The sequence below is a fragment of the Homo sapiens genome, chromosome 12 (genome assembly GCF_000001405.40).
Source record: "Homo sapiens chromosome 12, GRCh38.p14 Primary Assembly".
In the NCBI taxonomy this organism is placed as follows: Eukaryota; Metazoa; Chordata; class Mammalia; order Primates; family Hominidae; genus Homo; species Homo sapiens.
Window position 1 is genome coordinate 16,582,844 of NC_000012.12, and position 21,239 is coordinate 16,604,082.

At 34.3% G+C, this 21,239-nt stretch overlaps 2 protein-coding genes across 18 annotated transcripts in view; one reads left to right on the plus strand and one right to left on the minus strand.

Moving 5' to 3' along the window:
- Nucleotides 1-10,488, plus strand: part of MGST1 (microsomal glutathione S-transferase 1) — a 246,217-nt gene extending 235,729 nt beyond the window's left edge. The window contains exon 6 of the mRNA XM_047428857.1: nucleotides 6,685-10,488. The gene's annotated coding sequence lies outside the window, so the exon portion shown is untranslated. The remainder of the gene's footprint in view (nucleotides 1-6,684) is intronic.
- Nucleotides 1-21,239, minus strand: part of LMO3 (LIM domain only 3) — a 61,803-nt gene that overhangs the window by 34,472 nt on the left and 6,092 nt on the right. For 10 of the 17 annotated variants that reach the window (XM_006719111.3, XM_047429153.1, NM_001001395.2 and 7 more), the window contains one exon: nucleotides 17,812-18,025. In XM_006719111.3, the coding sequence (XP_006719174.1) occupies nucleotides 17,812-18,017 (206 nt within the window). In that variant the 5' untranslated portion in view covers nucleotides 18,018-18,025. Of the gene's footprint in view, nucleotides 1-11,293; nucleotides 11,492-15,948; nucleotides 16,125-17,811; nucleotides 18,026-21,239 lie in introns of those variants that run through there. The other 7 variants (NM_001243613.1, XM_047429156.1, NR_045014.1 and 4 more) reach the window with 5 other exon arrangements.

The following is a 21,239-nucleotide window of genomic DNA, read 5'->3' on the forward strand; positions in this document are numbered from 1 at the left end:
TCGAGACCAGCCTGGCCAACATGGCGAAACCCCGTCTCTACTAAAATAAAAAAATTAGCCGGGAGTGGTGGCATGCACCTGTAATCCCAGCTACTCAGGAGGCTAATGCAGGAAAATCTCTTGAAGCTGGGAGGCAGAGGTTGTAGTGAGCTGAGATCACTCCACTGCACTCTAGCCTGGGTGACAGTGCGAGACTCCGCCTCAAAAAAAAAAAAAAAAAAAATCTAAACTGTAGGGTCATGGCATCCAAGACAGTAGAAAGCTTTTAAAGAGAATAAATGATCAACACTATTAAAAGAGAAGAGAGACTGTAAGATGATCCCGGATAAAATGCCCATTGGCTTTAGCAATTGGATGTCAGTAACAGCAGTATCAGCAGAGTGGTGAGAGACAGAAGCCAGATCACAAGTGGGTAAGGAGTGCAAAGGAGGTTGAGGGAGTATGGATGACAACAACAGACTGTTCTTTTTTTTTAAAAAAATTAGACAATAGGGGAATTGATAACAGTAACATAAATTTGAGGGATAAAGCATCTTTTTACAGAACAGAAAAATCTTGGGTACAGCCATATGTTGACAGTCAAGTAATTGTAGAAAAGAAGATACTAAAGACTGAAGAAAAACAAGTTACCTCATAAAATGAAGACACACAGAATACTGGAGGGAATGGAGCCAAGGACATAAAATTGGCCTTAGAAGGAATAGGAAGACCTCATTCCCATAGATGGGATAAAAGAAATTAAAGATAAATGGAAAAGCAGATAAAATGTAAGAGGCTGATTTATATCAAACCTGATAAAAAACATCAGGGAATATCAATCTGTATGTTATTTGCTTGTTTCTAGCAATGCTTAACCACACTGTAGGAATGGATTGAAAAAGGGTAGCATACCCATGGCAATTTGTTAGACTGGAGCAGTGGTGAAAATTGAGCTAGCACAGGCATGGGAGGAGACACAGAAGATGGAAGTGAAGGGGACTTGCCTGATTGACAGTTGGGTTCATAGTGGGCAGGAAAGATAGAAGTCTTAAAGGTTTGACCAAATTAGGAGAAAGAGACATGACAGGAGAGCTGAATGTCTGAAATCAAAGATCAGTGCTATTACAAGTGAAACAGGACTACAGTGTGGAGTTTAAGATTCCTGAGATGAAATACTTTTCCATAAGGAAAAGACACTGTATATAATTCTGGGATGGCAGGCTGATGTTCAGTAGGGTCAAGGAGGCTCAACAAGTTAGGGCTTGGTTTCAAGTGAGTCATCTCTAAGCCTTTTAGAATCCCTAGAATTGTGGTAAGAGGGAAATGACAGCAGTGAGTAGGGGTAAAAGGTAGTATAATTAGATGTACGAGTTTTGTTGGAGGATGCATTTTTTAGTAGTGAGTGGGGAGAGTTATGTGTATCTAAGATTGCCAGTTTCTCCTCTTGGCTTCATGGAATGTGGGATTTACATGAGTAAGTAGTACCTTGCACCTGTTGACAGCTGAAAGAAAAGTTGCCTCCTTAAAGGAGAGGCAAGTTTCAGGTAAGGCAACAGATGAAATTCAGTTAAAACAATATTTTGATGGGAAAGGCATCTGGCCAAAAGATTGTGGACACAGCAAAAGTTATTGACAAGGACATGAGGTTTCTGGAGGACCCAGTGGAAAAGTGTTGAGTGAACGTAACAGCAGAAATATACAGAGAATGAGGAAAGGAATGGAAACAAGAGACGTTTTAGATTAACATTGGCAAGTGGAGGAGTGGGGGGGGTAAGAGGCCTGTTTAGAGGTGGATGGCCTCAGATGTCTTAGCTTTGGCACAGTGAGGGTCCCAGAAAATATCCCACTTAAGTCCAAACATATTGCAATGGCTGCCATGAAGTTCAAGAAACAGCAAGAGATTTCTTTTATCAGGACGGGCTGCTTCTCGCCTCACAAAGCAGTGCCAAGACTCCTTGTTAGGCTGAAAGCTCCCAGGAGATTTCTGAAGCAGGAGTGTAACTGGTATACATTGGATGAAGGGCTCTGATCCTCTCTTCAAGAATTCAGGATGCGAGGAAATATTTTCAAACACCTTAGCGAACTGTACACATTAAAGGGCCTGATCAGTTATCTGAAACCAGAATTTTATGATTCTGACCAAAAAGTTACATACTAGTAGCTGTGTGCCACATTAGAGTTAGTTGCCAATGTCTTATATACAAGAGATTTTACTGAAATATCTAGAAAAAATATCTGGTTTATCCAGAAAAATCAGCAACATTAGGCCCACATTCGTACAGTGTGCTGGAATTAAGTCATGGCTTCCCCCTTTGGGTGGCGCATGCAAGCCCCAGTTCACAACGTTATTTTTCCTTCCAGACTCCGGAACCTGGAGGCAATTGAGTTTGTAATTCCCGTCTTAGCCCTTGGCAAGATAAATAATTCAGCCTATTTTATTTACATTCAAGTATCATGGTAGAAAACAAGTTATTGATTACTGCTTCAAGAAAAAGGATTTGCATATTTGTGTATATATTTTTAAAAAGTGGATTAACTTTATGTTAAACAATCACTTGGCCACAAAGATTAATATTAACCTATATTAAAGGTTATTTTTGCTACCATCTTCATCCTACACAGTGAGCATAAATGTTGTTTCAAATATTGTTCCCAAATATTATTCAAATTCACCTAATTTTACATATAATTGCAGATTAGAAAACTAATTTCATCACAATCTCCCCTTTCCTAAATTCCTCTCACTCAGCTATCTGAGCATCTCTCATGCATCAGGCCCTATGTTCCCACCTGTATTTTCTTTCCGTTGAAGTCCACCCATTCCAATTATTTAAGTGATTTCATTTGAATGATGTCAAAACTAATCCTCAGGTGATGTAAGCAGCTCCAAATATAATAATAGAAAGGAAAATATGGGTGAGAAATTACAAAAGGCTGGAGAATCAATTAACATATATACTTCTAAACAATTGTTAGAAAGTAAATTTGATCTGGGCTTCCCAGGAAACAAAGAAAAGAGGGAAAATGTCAACATGTATATGATTCACAGGCCCAAGTAAAACATCATTTAGTCATTTATAGTCTCAGAAATCTTGCTTATCCTAAGATCTGGGCGACATTTCACCAGTGAGGCGGTAGGACATTGTGTGATACAGTAAACAAAGTCCCCAATAGCATCCTTAGGACACTGATGTTTTTGCAGCTGTTAATGAAAATCTTCAACACAGGAAAACAGCAAAACCTTGATGTACAATTCCATAAAAATTTTTGAGGGGCCAAAACAATAGGGGTCAAGATCAAAGACACAGGGAAGGATAAATTAAAAACCATCACAAGGAATAATTCAACATCCAGTTTTTCAGGTAATCTGCCATAAATACTATTTCCTTCAGATGACTTCTTAAAACATAAGAATGGAAAAGCAGCATTTGAAGTTGTAATCTCTGGCAAGAACACAGAGTGTTAAGATGTCATGATACGATGAAGTCCACATACGGAACAACTAAGAAACAACTAAAACACGTGCATGAATGGAGAACCACTGCATGGCTGTGGCAAGGAGAGCGGAGGATCCTAATCTTCCCCAGCAAGGCTTTCTGGTTCTCCTCCAACACACAGCTGAGTCACAGAGGCCCTGGACAATGTGTCTGGACAAATCTCACGCTAAGCATTATCTTCTACGTCCACAGAAAAAAATCTGTTGTATAATATTGTCAGATTCAGGCCAACTGAATTCTGGAGGACATATGCAAAGACACTGCATTTCATCTTTGGACGTCCTTTCTTGGCAGGACCACTTGTCTCCCAAAGCCTGTCCTAGGATGTGGCAATAAGGCTATACCGTCGGGGTAGAGATTTCAAGATACACATCTTTTGACCCCCCATTGCAGTAGATGATGTTTTTTTCCATTTCTCTGGTACTTGAGCTAAGCTCCTGTGGCTCAGATTATTTATTGCATTACTTTTGTAACCTTTCTCCCAAAGGAACATGTAAGCCATACACAGTTGGCATCAAATATTACTGGATGACAGATTTGTTTTTAAAATGGTAAAATTAGACAATACGTCTCATCTAAATTCATGGAATTCTCCCCTCTAATAATAGAGTCATGTGATAGCTTAAAAACACATGCTTTATCATCATTCAGTAGCAGTTTATTCATTAGAACATTCTGTACTCCTCTAAAAATCCAACATATCTCGTCACATCTCATATTTGGTTATTTTCCTTCTCAAAAGGTCTTGTTACAAATCTAATGCATTTAACTACCAAACTATGCCCACAAGGGTACTTGGACAATGGCTTACATTTTAAATTATAGCAATTGTGGGTGCTGCTGACCTGTCAATCTCAAATATATTCATAAGCTACACACACGAAAATGAAATGAACAAAGTGATTCAGATTAAACAGCTCTGACTATCCATTTTAAGAAAATCACTGGGTGTGCCTAGGATCCAATGCTAACAATTTGTTACGCACTGCAGTGTTACAGCTTTCTAAATGGTAAGTAACTGTTTAAAAATTCCAAAGCATTCTTAAAACGTTTCACTTAAACATTTCTGCAATAAAATCTTATTGAACTGTTGCTTTCATTAATTTTCTACAGACTAGAGAGCAAGGAATTCAAGTTCGATTTTTTTTTCTTTTACTTTGCCTACTACTAGCAAATAAACTGTGCCTCTTTTTTAAATAAACCCCTGGCCTTGAGTTTTGGCCCCTTAATAGTAGCCTACATGGTTGACTACCCTTGGTGTTAAATTTTCTTAAATTGTATTTCTGTCAGTGTATCATTTTTTTAAGCAATGGACCCTATAATAGCAAGCACTGGTCTGTCAGGAGTGCATTTTAACAGCACGACACAAGTATTTTTCACTACAGGAGACAAACAATGATATGTATTACATGCAGTAAACACTGCCTTTGGTACACAGGGTTCTCTTAGCATTTATCTGTCTAAAAATCTCACTGTGTCCTGAATGGGGGGTTTCAGGGGGAGGGAGAGGAACCTTGTCTCATATTAATGCTGCCAGTAGCTATGGTATAGTGTTAGAAAAAGTCCACAAGCATTGCTACATTTCTCATGAAAGAAAACCTTGATTTAATTTTAAATGAACAAAACAAGGAATATTAATTCATGCTTAAAAAGTCCCTTTCTTTCAGATAATTACCCTGTCTTTCTCTTACGACTTCTTTCCCAAGCTTTGGTATTTTCCCCCTTTTATTCACAAGTATCTTTATCAAACAACTTTCAATTAAACATAAAAAGCTACTAAGACATAGTGCTCTCCAAATTTAAGGTGCAATACTCCAAGAAATGCTTAAAAAATTATTAGCATTTCCATGCATTTTCTACTTTTTCCTTTAAACATTGTTTTCATAATTTTTAAAATGTATAATAAAGTATTTACAATTTATAAATATATACAAATATACAAATTGAAGGTGTGCACTCAAATTTCTTTAAGAATAAAGATATATAATCAAATTGTTTAAAGAACACTGTGAAAAATAATGTGAGTAAAAAAGTTGGTATTCAATTTCCTTGCCACCTGAGAAAAAGATGCAAAATCAACACTATAAAGAAAACCTAAAACAACCTAAAATTTTATAATATAATTCTACTCTATGGAATATTAAATATAATGCTTTACAAGGCCATAGAACTTTTATAAGGTAAAACAGGGAGAGCATGGATATATAAGGTATTTTAGAAAACTATCACCTCAGTTACAAAGGAAATAGAATTTTCAGTAATTCTCCCAAAGATCCAAATTCATCCTAATTTATATAAAGCACACTACAATCTTAATTTAACAATCCATTCCAAATTCCAATAATCTCCAGTGTTGAGATATTTTTTCCATACAGCCTAAAGTGCACATATTTAGACATTTCTCCACCCATCTCCTTTGCACACGAAAAGTTGGTAAACGACCTCATTATACTAGTAGCCTTTCATATTCTTCATTATTAATCACTCTTAAACCTCTTCTTCAATCTTCTCCTCATGTTTAATTTCTCCCTTATCTTATCTTCATAACTCAGTGCCATTCTCCCTTCATAACAACAGAAGCTGACATTGGAGGAGTATCAGCCAATGTGTACCGCTCTTTCCCTACTGTGGTCCACTGTCACCCCTAACTATTTTATGAATAGGATTCCTATTTCTAGAGAAGAAAACGCAGACTTGGAGAGGTTGAGTAAGTTGCCTAGGAATGTGAAGCTGGGGTGTAGCAGAAGGGGGTCGACGTCAGGTCTGGATACCTCACCGTGATGCAACCTGACATGCCTCTAAGATCTACGAATTAGATGTAACCTCACCCAGTTTGGAAGATTTTAGGGAAGTGACAAGAACTCATGTAACTTTTTATTTTTTAATGAAGTGATATTCACAGAAGATTATAACAACAGTAGATGAATGCATCCTAATAGGAATACATAAGTTATCTGCCACTGATGATCATTGATGGAGAAGGGGCAATACCTAATGTAGTAGAATAATGAGAAACACATGATGAGACATTTAAAATATACTGTACATATTACTATGAGTGCAGTATAAGCTTGTGGCTTTACTTTTACTTGTGACTTCACAGTAAAAAATTAGGTCGTAGTGCAGATGAAAGCCTCCGTATAAATTAGGAAGGAAAAATTTAAGAAAAATTAATTTAAAATCTCCTGAAAAATTATGTCTTTTTTAGGTTGCTGCAGAAGTCAAGAGCTAACCAAGAAGACAAGGAATGTAACATATTTAATCAAATAAGCACATCATCTCTATTATAAAGACAGTGGTTTGTTTAATAACTATCACTGACAAGATTATTTCAGATTATTTAAACACCAAGCAAACTATCAGGTCAAGATCAAGCAACTTTTCTTTAAGATCAAGCTCAAATTGATCTGCCTTGGAAGACGAGGATCACCAAGTGATTAGGAATATAGGTTCCTCAACTCAATCTGGACAAGAAAAGCATCTGCCAGGAAGAACAGAGGGGGACTGTTAGAAATTGTAACAGAAAAAAGCCCCCAAGATGCAGACCACAGTAGGAATTAAGCCTCGTAAAGCTCTCTGGCTACTGTCTCCGTCTAGCTTTCTGGGAAGTATGTGTTGGATTTTTTTGTGCATGAAGTATAAATGCCACCGTTTTTGAAAGCCCACCCATTCATCCTGTACCTCCTTATAAGATTCAAAGCACATTTGCATAGCTTCTTAGCCAAGTATGCATGAAGATATCCCAGCCCATTTTATAAATATACATGCAAGCTCGAGAACTTTGATTTGTACCCAAAGTTTAAACTTAAACATTTTTAAAAGACACTTTGTACATACAAATCCCACTGTTATAAATAGAAATTAATATTTAACTTTTGGCTTTGAGGATTATGCTTAGCTCTTCTTGAAGCAAAACTAACATTAGTGAGCTAGGATTAAGGTTAGTGGGTTAGGTTAGTGGTGAGAAATATAAGCATAAACAAACTCTCATGTAACATTTGTCTCATCAAGAATGTAATTCACGAAATTGTTTTAAATAACAATATGTCCTTAATGTATCTTCTCTAAGTGCTGGATTTAGAAACATTTATCATAACTAGAGCAAATATATTATTTTACATGTTTTGTAACTATAAGATAATTAAATAGGGCTTGGCTTGACTTTAAAAAGTGAAAAAAATACAAGAATATCACCCCTCAGACCTAGAATAGCGGACTTCAAGAGTAGAAAATTAATGGCCTTTGAAAAATCCACATCTTTGCAATTTGTATTACCTAAGAATTAAAAAAAAAAATCGGTATCATTGTGATCAGGACAGTTTGATGACATCTTTGGTCAAGATCTTACTCTCATAAATGCTGTGTTGGCAGTCCTAGCTCATCAATATAGGCATTTCCTTGAATTTCACATTGAAATACTATGATGTATAGATATTCCATTTGCCATATTAATAGACGAATGTAGATGCATCACTTTAAAATCAAACATGCGACTATATCATCCCCCTTAGATTGGCAACAGATCATCACGTGACCAAATCCAGAAGCCTATTTTCAAATTCATATTTCACAACTATTACTTAATCACACAGGGTCATCAATGGGGCCAAATAAAAAGACATCCAAAAAAACTTCCAGTAAATAAATGAAAAATAATCTCATTCAATTCAGCAGATGAATTCTATAATCCCAAATGAAATTGATTTCACAACTGCCTCACTGAATAAGCTTTACAATGGTTTTCAAATTGAAGTATTATCACTTTTCTAGGGGACATTTAGAAATGTATACGGGGCATTGTTTGTTGCAACAGTGATAGGTGGTACCATAGACCTACACAGTGACTACCCCTTATTCTTGCCCCTCCTGCTCTCCCACACCCCAGCTGCACTAGTATCTGTGATGTCCTTCAAACATATGAGAAAAACTCCCACCTCAGGGCCTTTGTACTGGATGTTCCTGAGCCCAGAATGTCCTTCCCATACGTGATCATGGCTAGCTCCTTCACTTTCATCAGGTCATTACTCAAGTCACCGTCTCAGTGAGGCTGTCTGCACCCCCTCCACACAAACCAAAATTCTACAAACCTCTTGTACTGCTTCATTTTCTCCTCATTGTGTTTATCATCTCCTCATGCCCTATACTTATTTTGTTGATTACCTATTTCCCCTAAGTAGAATATAAACTCTACAAGGGGAGCAGGTATTTTTGTGTTTTATTTAGTGCTTATGTCAAGGCCTTTTACAGTACCTAGAATATACAGAATGATCACATTTATTGAATGAAAAAATGGGAATGGGGATGATTGTTTTGCAAGAGGTATCAATTGTACAAGGAAAGATAAGCATTTTGCAAGGGGTGTCAATTATTGATAACTTACTGATATCTGTGATAAGAGATGGAACAATACAAATAGCATGAAAGTTACAAGCTAAGTCTGTCTTGCTCTGCACCCAAAATATAACCCGTGAAGCTCAAAGCTCAGCTTTCATAAGAGGACCACTGGCTTATGAAATAATTTTTATGAAGTCCAGATACTTTATAACCTCCCTGCTTCAGAATATTTTCTAATCTCTCCTGATCATACCTCTTGTCATTCTCTATATTGGTTCCATGGGACTTAATTGGAGTGAAACTCTTTATATATTCTACTTAGTTATTTGACAATAATAGTGACTATGTTTATCAGGTGTAGAAAATTTGAAAAATAACTTGCTCTTAAGTTCTTTCCAATTTTCCCAGACTGGATAGCTTATTCTTCACAAAAGAAAGTATGTATAACTTTGTACTTTATATATTATACAAAATTAATTAGAAATGTAGTATTTCACATTCATTATTTATAAGAACGAAGTATTGGCACTCAAATATTTGTCAAGTGACTAAATGGTTTCATTGTAGAACTTTTAAAGAGATAGCAAAGCAAGTAATCATAAACACAAACCCCAATCCTGCCTCTCAGCAAGGGTTGCACCGTGAAAGAAGAGATTCTTCTAGCTCAGGAACTTTCTAATATTTTTCCTAATAAATGGTCACAGAAAATACTGGCTTATAAATTTGAAGGCAATTACTTATAATTTCTTTGTATCTCCCAAAGTGCAAATGTTCCTCAGTGGATATTCACATGCAATATTTATAGACTCTAAAATTACATTCACAGTATAAGTGAGCATCTCACCTGTAAAATGCAAATAACCTGCTCATGGAAACTAATACTTGCATGAAGTTACAACTGCTTTTTCCATCCACTTCCCTTACTCCTACCCACCCAGGTAAAGGAACAGGTACTGATCCACTCATGTTACCAACTTTATACATAGATATTGGTAAGAATATATTTTTATTGAGCAGCTAATAAACAAAAAATAAGTGGTATGCTTAATGTTGTAAGGTATTTTAAAATGTAACAGTCTTGATTCTTCTATTTTTTGGTGAAATGTGAGCAGTATGTCAAAAAACACTATCCTAGAGATGGAAAATTAAAAAACATTAAAAATAATTACTAAAGAGATTTCAAAATCTTTTAAAAACAAAAAGAATAAAATAATTTCAAAAACAGGTAAATAAACATCTCTGTTAGAACTGCTAAAATAAAAACATAACATTGTTCTAAAAGTTTTAGAAACTAGGAGTAAAGTAATGACATCTAAAATTAGCTTTTCCCTCTTGTTGCTTGTTGGGATCCCACAGCATAAATGAGACAGGAATTTATTTTTTCTCTGTGGTATCTGGATTACTGTTAAACATTAGGATTAGCACATTTTATGAAGTTCCATGCCTGCTTACTAGTCCTTGTCATATCTGATATTTATGTTTACTAAAATTGATTTTCTCTTTTTATTAATAGCTTGGGTTTAATGTGGACGATGCTTCACTGCATTAGTGATAACAATTTTACTTAAATATTGCTTTGGTGTGCTCTTCTGCAAATACTCTTTCAATTCCTAAGAGTCTTTTATTTTCCCAGTAGCCCAGTTGGAGAGTTTTAATATTAAATTGAATCATAACAACACATGCTGATTAGAGTCTAACTTAATACATGCAGCTTAATGTTAATTTTCCACCTTCAAATCAGGGATTTGACTATTCCAAGATGATTATTCATCTCAAGTGTGATTTCATTTTAAACTTGTAAAGCCCACAACTAGAGATTTTTGCATCAGAAAACACTAACATGATAGCGCAAAGGAATTCGGCGAAAAGAGAATCATTACATAACTACAAAAATACTGTTGAGAAGAAAAAGGTTTATCAAGAAGATTTCATAATACAGCACAGAAGCAAAAAATGGCACAAGCAAATGCACAGTTGGCTGATGTAGTTAGTTTGTGAAGATAGAAAACGTTTGGCTTCTATAATAAGAGGATATGCTTAGGTCCTAATTCCTTTAGAGAAAGTTATCCATTAATACTGATAATAAAGGGGGGAAAGGCATAAGCCAAAGGAATTGTTTTAAAGTTAGAAATGAAAAGCTAAATGCCACATTTCTTGCTTCACAGTATAAACTTCCACTTCAAAATAAGCTTCGTGTAAGCACCTTGAAAAGGGAAATACATGGTTAATCATCAAAACAAGTATATTATCATAGTAAAAACAGAACTAGAACAGGCAGTATCAAACTCCCTCGGAGCTAAGAAAAACAGAATTAGATATTTAAAATCACAAGGAAATAAATTTAGGCATTCTGTAGTTTTATAAAAGTTGTCCTACATGTTAGACTGATTAATATCCTGTAAGAATAGATGAGTGCTATAGTTTGCAATATTAACGAATTAGCTGGCGTCAGGTGTTTGAATTTTACAAGTTTTAAAGCTTACCAAGCTATGGTGATTTGTTGGCTAAAGTCAATGATGACAAAAGGTAATGGCCATTCTAAGGTTACACAGATTCCAATCTCTGTATGTGCAGCATGTATGTATATAGATCCACACCTCTTCAAATGCTTAACAAGAGGAAGTGCCATGTGTCAGCAGAAGTAATCATATACACAAACCAATTTTTATAAGCCAATTAAACTAAAAAATAAAAAAGAAAGAAAAAGGCCATTTATAGAGACATGGCTAATACAAATGGAGTTTTATAAAAATACCTAGCAAATTGAACAGAGTATTGCTATTTTTATTTTTATTCCCTTTGTTTTCCAGATCTTGTCCAGCATTTACACTTCATATATTGTATTTTTTATTGATAAAAGTGAGAAACATTGGCTAATTTTTTCAGAAGATAGGATGAGGATGCAGTACATGGCTTTGAATAATAGAAGACATTCTCATACGAGTTGGAAAAATGTTTTCAAACCAAATACCAAAATAAGACTTCAGTGCCCCACAGTGTAATGAAGGGAAATACAACGGTCATTTAGGTTGGTGCAATTCTTTTTTTAGGCTATTTCATTTTTATGTGAGGCAGAAAATGGAACTACATAATACATTTCTACAATTTATATATTCATCAAAACCATTTACAAAATTACTACTTTCAGCATATTTTAAAAATGAGATTGCTTAACAAATTATGTTTATGTAGTCAAAACACACCATTAAAATTTATTATTAGTCACTTAATGGAAGTTAATGGTGAGTTTATAAATGAAGTGCTGGCTTACTTTGATATAGTCTAAGAGCAACCAAAAATAGAAATTATTTCCCAGAATTCTATGTATTTATAAAGTGCAAAATAAGCAATTTTAGCAATTCTCAAATGTAGGTTTTCCAGATGCATTTAATCCTAAATACACTTGTAGAAACAGAATATTTTTCTGCTAAGTCAGGTATGTCTAACTTATCCATCTTACATGTAAAAACTATCCTGACTGAAGTATTTCATACTTATTAAAAGATAAAAAACTATAAAGATACAGAAACATTATAAAATATTTTTAATACTCTGGGGGGTCGTGAAATTTCCAGTGAAACTATCTCAAGTCTACAAAACAAACTAAAACAAAAAGCCACAAAAGTAAAATAATTATATTATTGGTAAATACTCATTTACTGAAAATGAATGCATTATAGAATTAAAGATAGAAAGATATTGCAGATAAATTTACCAATGAGAAGAAATTCTGTATGTGCAGTAAATATTTTTAATAGAAGTTGTTTGGGGGCAGTTTTTGCTCAGGAAGTCTAATGTGAATTCACCTACTATTTTCCAGAATGAGGGGCACTCTTCTGAAGAATTATCCAAAAAAATTATCACTCCTAATTTGTATTGGTTCAGGGTAGTATAAACGCTAAAATATTTAAAACAGAATTCAATAATGCTTCTTCTACAATAAAGGGAAAAATGATCTTAAAATTGTAACTTTTTATAAAGCTGCAAATAAGATAATTTTTAAGGAATATAACAGTATTTTTGTAACAGATATGGAGTTCAATATGCTCATGTCAAAATATTTCATAATACTAAAATTAACTTAGACATTCAAACATAAAAATTATGACAATAATATGGTGTTTAAAAGCTCAAATGAAGCTTATAGAAATAAAGCTTATTTGTAGAGTTCCATTTCATATAAAAGTTTATGCTTTCAGAATTTAGAACAGTAAAAAGTGGTTTTTCAAATAATAAGAATACATTGCTTTCCTGGAAAAATACTTCCAAATGATTATTAAAAAGATGACAATGAAAGAAAAAAGAATGAATATTGTATCAACATTAAAAAAGCATCTGTGCTATAAATTGCCAGATAAAATAATATTAACAACATATTCCTATTTACCTTTACACTTATAATTATGTACCAATATAAAGCTGACCTTACATAAAAATTTAGAAGCACCAGGTTTGATCAGCGTGAGATAAAGTTACAGCTAGATTTATGCCCTATGTGGCAATTTATTTTTATTTTCTCTTTTAGAGTTATTATATTATTATATTAAAGCCTATAAAATTTGTAGTCAGCATAGCAAGCTTCAAATCATTTTAGTTAATTAGCAACTATGGTGAAGCATGAAGCATCACTCTTTCCCAGTAGTTTCATTTTAAACAAATCATCCTCACGTATAAAAATAGCAAATTGCATTAAATTTTATATAAGACATTTTACAGCTTCTTATATAGGAAAAGCTATAAGCAGCTTCCATGGCACATACCACAGCAAACAGCTTTGAATAAACTCTGGCAAGATATCATTCATAGAGATACAAGATACATACAGCCTATATAGACTTAATGCTTAAAGTACGTCACAAAAAGTTGCAGGTTCAAAGAAAGAACAACAAAAAAATTGCCCAGAAGTTGAGTTCCAGTTACATTCTGACATCCTTTATTGCCTTCAAGTTGAAAAAGAAAGTATTTTGGTATTTCTCCTAGTTCTATTTAATGCTTGCTGCAAAACATTAAATAAAAGCATGTAGAATTCCTAATTCTAAGACTCTGATTATGCACTGGCTGGCTACTTTATTCATATTTTTTCAAACTGAAATAAGGCGGATAGATCGCAGTGATGAGTACCTTAAACATTATCACTACAACTTTGCTATTTTTACACAGTCATTTTTAATCTACTTTAGACAATATCAATTTTAAGCTCCAACTTAAAGTACAAAGATGTTTCTATATCTAATTTGTCATAAGTTACTCTTCAAAAAAATAAAAATAATTATAAATGCATTGGATAGATTTTTAACAGATACATTTCTTGGTCTGCCTGGCATATAAATATTGACTGGGTAGATTTCATAATTTCAGTCAGAAACATGTTAGAGGAAGTTTTAAAAAGTCAGTCCTTCTCTTTCTTTAGCTAATGAGTTTCCAAAGGAGGAAAGCAATCCCACAAATGGGCAAATTCTGTCTCATCAGATATGTACATTTTATGTTCCACAGCTAAATGAATGATATGCCAGTCCAGTTCTGGAAAGTGAAAAATTCCACTGTTAAGATTTGATACTTAGTGTACAAACTATGGAAGATTTTTCTTTCTTTTTCTCTTAAATATAGCTACTAGTGCCATAAAGGAGAAAAAAAATGGAAAGACATCAAATTTTCCATAATAATAGTTTCTATAACCCTTAAGAAAATATCTTACAGTCTAAATTATTATATTTTCATATTATTTAATATCTCAAATCATCATTCAAAGAACTTATAAATCACATCATCATTATCACTACTCAAAGTAACACAAGTAAAACACAGATCTTTAAGTCTCATTGCTCATAATTAGGAGTGTTTCTTTCTTTCTGTTTATGGAGGGAGAAGTGTATTAAGAAGCTAAATGTAATTGGCAAAAATATTTTACTTTTCACTGTATGTAAAAAATTATCTGGCCCAGGACAATACTTGTAACCAACAATATATGTGGACAGGCAAATTACTATTTTATTACTTTCCTTATTCTTACTTATGTTCTTAATAATTTAGACATGAAATATAAATATGTAAGTTATTTATGTTCAGTTTGGTGCCTCAGAGAAATTACATAATATCAAAGGGCCAAAAATAAAACAACTTTTAAAATAGAACTTAAGTGATTAAACATTGGTTATATAAAATACAAAATGGAAGTATGCTGAATTTGGAGGAAAATGAGAAAAATTACTTTTAAAGCTCAGGAAAATAACCACAGAATATTACTTGTTCACTGATTATATTACAGATTCTATGTAATTAAATAAACAATTAGATAGTGGCAACTTTAGGTGTACCTTCCTTTTTCCTTTAGCTAATTTCACCCATTGCCTGAAATCATACCTCTCACACAGTAAGCATTTAATAAACATTTTTGAACAACTATTTGTATCTAATCAAAGAAATTAATTTGTAAATAAAATCTGCTTGACTATATTTGTTGATTTACCATACAGAATCAGACTATTTTAATTTGCCAATCAGAGACATATGCAGTTGAACATCTACACAATTTCACTGAGACACATGCTTTCCACATAAAACTAAATACCACATCTGCGGCATAATCTATAACACGTAACACAGTGTTTTACACACACCAATTCTCCACTTCACTTCTGCAATTTTAAGTGTTGATGAAGTTGCCAAATAAGTCACATTATATACAACAAACTTTCAGTTTAAATAAGGGACAAGATTGCTGTTAACAACTTAGTTTGAAATGTTAACAACCGTTAGGCTGTTAACATAACAACTGGCCATTAATGTGGTAATGACCAATTTAAGCGGAAATCGTACTCTGAGAAATGAATATATTGGCAATCAGGACCAGGGTTTATATTTGAAAGAATATTATATACTTTTAATAAGTTAACCACCATTAAAAGTTTGAGCCTATCAGGAGGTAACTGAAAGTTATTCTACAAAAAGCCACATACACTCTTATAGAGATACAAAAACTTCTGATATGAAAACTATTTTTGATAAATGCGTTTTAGCAAAACACTTGAGACTATCAAATATATTTTTACTACCACAAGGAAAAAGAAAACAAAACAAATCTAAGATTACTGTCTTTGCTCGATGCTATGTTGACAGCTAAGAAGCATGTTATACTCACAATATAGGTATTTCCTTGGCAAATTTTTATTTTTGTTTTCAAAAACCCCAGATATTTCAGTTGACATTCTTTCAAGTTTACTTAATTTTTGTCCTTTGGTTTATTAAAACACCTTAACATTGCCCGGGCTATATAAACTCCTTATTTGAAATGGTAACATAAATCCACTTGAGATACTGAAATTACAAACAAATGTAAAAGTCAAAAGGAGTCAAAAAGCTATGACTATTGGTTAGTACAGATAAAGCAAAACTAAAAAGCAGTATTAAATCACTAAAAGCAAATACAAATGCTTTATGTGGAAATGAGGCTCTAATTCACAATGGGCAGAAGAGAAATTTTTATTTCAAAGAGGAAAGTTCAAAGACCGGAGAGTTCTAAAAAAATGAACATTGTACATTAATTTTGATTCGTTGTGCCAACACAATGAGGGAAATCCTGGCTGGAGAGAGTGACTTCTCATTGTTGGCACCTTGCATGTGTTTTACGCACTTGGAACACAGAGAAGTAGTAACAAGTGGCCATAATTAGTCAGGAGGCTGTCAGATGAGGCCGTCCTAAGAGCGAGAAGGAGTAGAATCTGATAAACAGTACCGCTTTCACCCTCTTGTAACTACCATTAATCAAATGATATATTTTTATATCTAAAGATTGGATCTGACTGAAAATAGCTGAATTATATACTAAGAACGACCAAATTCCCTAGAAAACACCTCATCAAATGACCAAGGTACTAAAGGAGTTACCATTGATTGATAAATTTTGTCATAAGGGAAAAAATTCCAAATAAATCGCTTAATGTCAGACCAGAAAAATGATAAATTGTATTAAATATGAAAATCCCAATGATGCCATATATCATTTCTCTAATTTGATAGATCCTACTTTATTAATATAAGTAATTTGCAGCTGAAGTAAGTCACAAAGTTGCCTGAAAAGCAAAATAATTTTCCTTCAGCAGAAATTCTGTGTTGAGTACTTAATGCTGGAAAACAAGCTTTAGTAGGCTTCATAGCTCCATAACCAAGAACACCTGCCTTGTCCTGAAAGCATTCAGATGTTTACAGGTTGGAGAGTGGCTGTCATTTTCCTATAATGATGGAGGTCTTTACTTTGTTATTATCCATAAAACTACTGGCAAGTCTGAGGCGGTTCAATTGCTTAGTTGTATTTTTGAGATTCCCGTTTAGAATGTCATGAGGTGGGGCGAGAGGAAGATGTATCTACACTTGGGGAAAGTTTTCAAAACTCTACAATAAATGCACTAATAGATATTAACCAAGGATTTGCACCTGACTTCCTCTGACACACCTGAAACAGAGAAGACAGCTGAATAACTTTAGAAGACTAAATTCAGGTCCAACTTAGAGGCAACAATTAAACTCTTTTACACAGTCCATTTTTTTCAAGTTGAACTTTTTAAAAATAGTTAAGATATTTTGCCAAATGGCTGATCAATTTCTTTGTGTTATGCTCAACCCCCATTCCCCCTTAAGCTCCAAAAAAAAAAAAAAAAAAAAAAAAGAAAAAAAAGAAAAAATAAGTAAATCAACCTGAATGCTGATTTCGACCAAATACATCCTTGACATTAACTGGCAGTTTCAACATAGGCAGCGCCATAACCAACTGCCTGAGTGTGCAGGCAAGCCAAATTGAAATACTTTAAATATTGTGGTTTGTTGGCTATTCCTTAAGCATTAATTTGAGTAACACACACAGGGCAACGCTTTGAAGGCTGACAGGTAACTTCTTTCAGGAATATAAGCTGGCAGTAAGGAAATGAAACAAGCAAACAAAAAATACACTTACAAAAGTACTTTAAAAGGCATCCAGTCATCACTGGTGTGCAAGGATAATTCCTACCTCAGATAGTCTCTGCGACAAAGGATAAGATTAGCTTTAGTGTACAGGGTGGAGCCCACCTCTCCCAAGCGACAGTCACAGCAGGCACACTTCAGGCAGTCTTCATGCCAGTATTTGTCCAGTGCCTTTAGAAGATACCGGTCCTTGATCTTTCGGTTGCAGCCAGCACAACCTTTCGGCTTGGTGTCTGGCTGGACTGAGAGCATTTGTATACCTAAAGGAAGACAAAAGCAAAAAAGAGAGCTGAGACTACCAGACAGAATAAAAAGACCTCAAACAAGTTAAATATTTAATATTTCCTTATTCTAGGAGTGTTAGCTTTTCTTGTTTAGGGCTATACTGAAATCAAACCCAATTTTGGAAACAAAAAGTCTCAAACTTTATCAAGTGCTTATTAAATCATTCAAAAAGTTACACATGCCAAGTGACAATAATAATAAATTCATGTTGACCATGGTAAATTGACATTATAAATATGAAGTTCAATAACATTAAATAATTTTATAGTATCTTCATTCTCCCCATAGAGCAGTTCCTTTAGAAAGAAAATGTGAGTAAATAACAATCTGAAAAGAAAGCTATTTAACAAATTAATCTATGCACAGTCCCTACAAGTAAAAAAATGAGTTTTGCTTAACTGTTTAAAAATTTCACTTAATATGTGCTTGATGGTGGAAGGAGAGGGCACCTGGTATGGGGTTACACTAACCTTATTCAGCAGTAGAGGTGTTTATAGTTAAGTACACAGAACAGCTACCCAAAAAGCTCACCAATCCTATATTTCTTGCTTGCATCCAAATACTTCTTCTATGTCCTTGATATTTCAAAGTATTCATTGTGTTCAAATATAACATTTATACTCACAAGCATCAGTCAGCACCTATATTAATGGCAGATTACTTAACTATATACTATATGCTTTTATGTAAACCTAAAGTATATGATTATACCATTTATTACCATAAACATGCAATTATTTGTTTTATAAAGGAAAGAAAAAACAATAGAAGGCAAGATCTAAATATATATACAATTATACAAACATATATAAGTAAATATATACATGTTATATGTATACTATGCTAAACATAGAAACATTTATATATTTTAAAGGTATAAATCCATCATAAATAAGGAATCCAGCTGGATTCCATGGGCTTTACAGTTTGATTGAAATCTTTTGAATGAATGGACATTCACCTTGAGTGTCTTCTTATTTCCTAGGTATTAAAACACCCAGCTTTAGCAAGAAGCTGGACCAACTATCCAATGCCTCATATTTATCAAATAACTCATTTTAAGCACTATAAAGTACTGCAGACATCATCAATTCCAAATTCCCTCATTTTACAAATTATGTTACCGAGGCCCAAGAGAGGTTCAGAGACTTGCTCAAAGCTGAAAGACAGTTACGCTATAGACTCCAGCCAAATGGCCTTCTTACAGTCCAGAGACCCTTCTGCTGCATTATGTTTGCTCTCCTAGGCATAAAGTTTTAAACTTGCATGTAGAAGGATACAAAACACCAAATGTGCATGCATTATAGGATAAGAAATGTCAAGCTATAATCTGCACTTTTGTACATTTTCCTTCTCCAAAACAGCTAAACCTCCTCCAGTTTCCTCTGATATCTTATGATGAAGGCTTCACCCCCATCACAACTTTCACAACCTTTTAAAAAAAAAATCCCACTGGTAAGAGACATCAAGGCATCCGCAGAGCGGAATAACTTTTCTAACTACAAATAATACATGAGTTGCACAAAATATTGTTAGGATGTTGAACTTTCATTAGAAAATAACTCGTCTGGTAGAGTTGTGTAGGGAATGGCAGGAAATAAAGCAGAGTAGCTGTTCTTTCTTTCTGCATCATAAGCATAGCTGTAGTCACCGGAGCTGCAGACTAACAGCTGGATTTGTAAGAAGAGCAGGTGGTATCCCTATAGCCTGCTTTCTGTTCCTTTCCTTTGAAGGAGCTAAGGGCCTAGTGTAGATTAATCATAACCCTTGATAGCTCTGCTAAATCTCACTCTCTAGAACTTCTAACAAATGAAGTTTCTTTGATCAGAACTAGTTATCCTCTTCTAGCAAGGTTCCACAAGGAGTGAATCCCATTAATTACAGTGAACAACAGATCCAAGTGCCTGTTAACCACATATCTAGGGGGAAGGGGAAGTTTTGATTTACTCAGTGAAATTCTGGATGGTGTTACTGAAAACACCTAGATAATAAATATTAAGAGAAGCCATTCTAATTAAGCCATCCTAATTAACGGCCATTCTATTAAATTTGTAAGGCTATTATTTTTATTTATCACAAAGCTCAAAGATGAAAAATCGAAAAAAAAAAAAATCCCAGTAGCAGCTAAGTTATATTTCCCACAGTTGTGTTTCTACCATCAAGCATAGAAGGTCAGCTGTTTTATTCAAAATGCTTTGCAACCAAGACAGGGGATACCAACATTTGGCACAAGTAACACTACCCTACTTGTCTTCACAAAATGTTTTTGTTGTGTTGACATTTTAATTTAGCACTCAGAGGCCAATTAATATTTGAAACTCTTACATTCTGTTTGGCCTTGGGCATAAAAGGAGTTTGATATTTCACACTCCATCCTGGTACCTTATTTGAAGAACATCATGGCAATTCTCTTGAAAATGGAATCTCTTGAATTCCATGCAAGTTAACAATTGTAGCAAAAGAACTATTTTGTAGTCACCATGTTACCGTGTACTTAAAAGGCATAAAGCAGTCAGCAGTCTCCCCTCTTCCACCAGAAGAACATGTCTGGGTAGAGTTACGTGTTTGTAGCTAAGAAACATTTCACAAGTTGCTCATAGCACATCAGAACTCATAACTAGTTTTAGATTGGCATGTAAATTGTTCTGAGGGAAATTCTTATTGCCTCTGAGACCCTGCCATTCTGAGTTATTTGACAGTTTAAGGGAAATCATAATTAAAAAAAAGACATAAATAATAGCCTGTGCAGTGTGGTGTGCAGAAATAAGTAGAACCATTTCATTTAAACTCTGGTGAGCTTTTAATTGCCTGGATTGCATTGTGAAGCGGCCTAACGGTTGATTGCCTCCATTATGTTCCCTTGTTCTGTACCATTCATCCGCACAGTCTCAGCTTCAGTAGTTAACACAACAAAGTAACCACAACTCCACAACACACAGGGGTTTAAAAAAAATAATAATAATGAAAGATTTGCAGCACTTAGACACAGTCTTACATTTTTGGACTAACTACACAGAGTGAATAGAAAACATTTTGTCCGTCGGAAAATTCACAGAGAACAATTTGGGAGAGGGAAGAGGAAGAGGGAATACATAAAGGGGGTTGGAAGAGATGAGGTGCTTCAGAAAGATGCTAAAATGGGAATGCAGGTTCTGCAGCTGGGAGCATTGACACAGATTAAAAGAATTT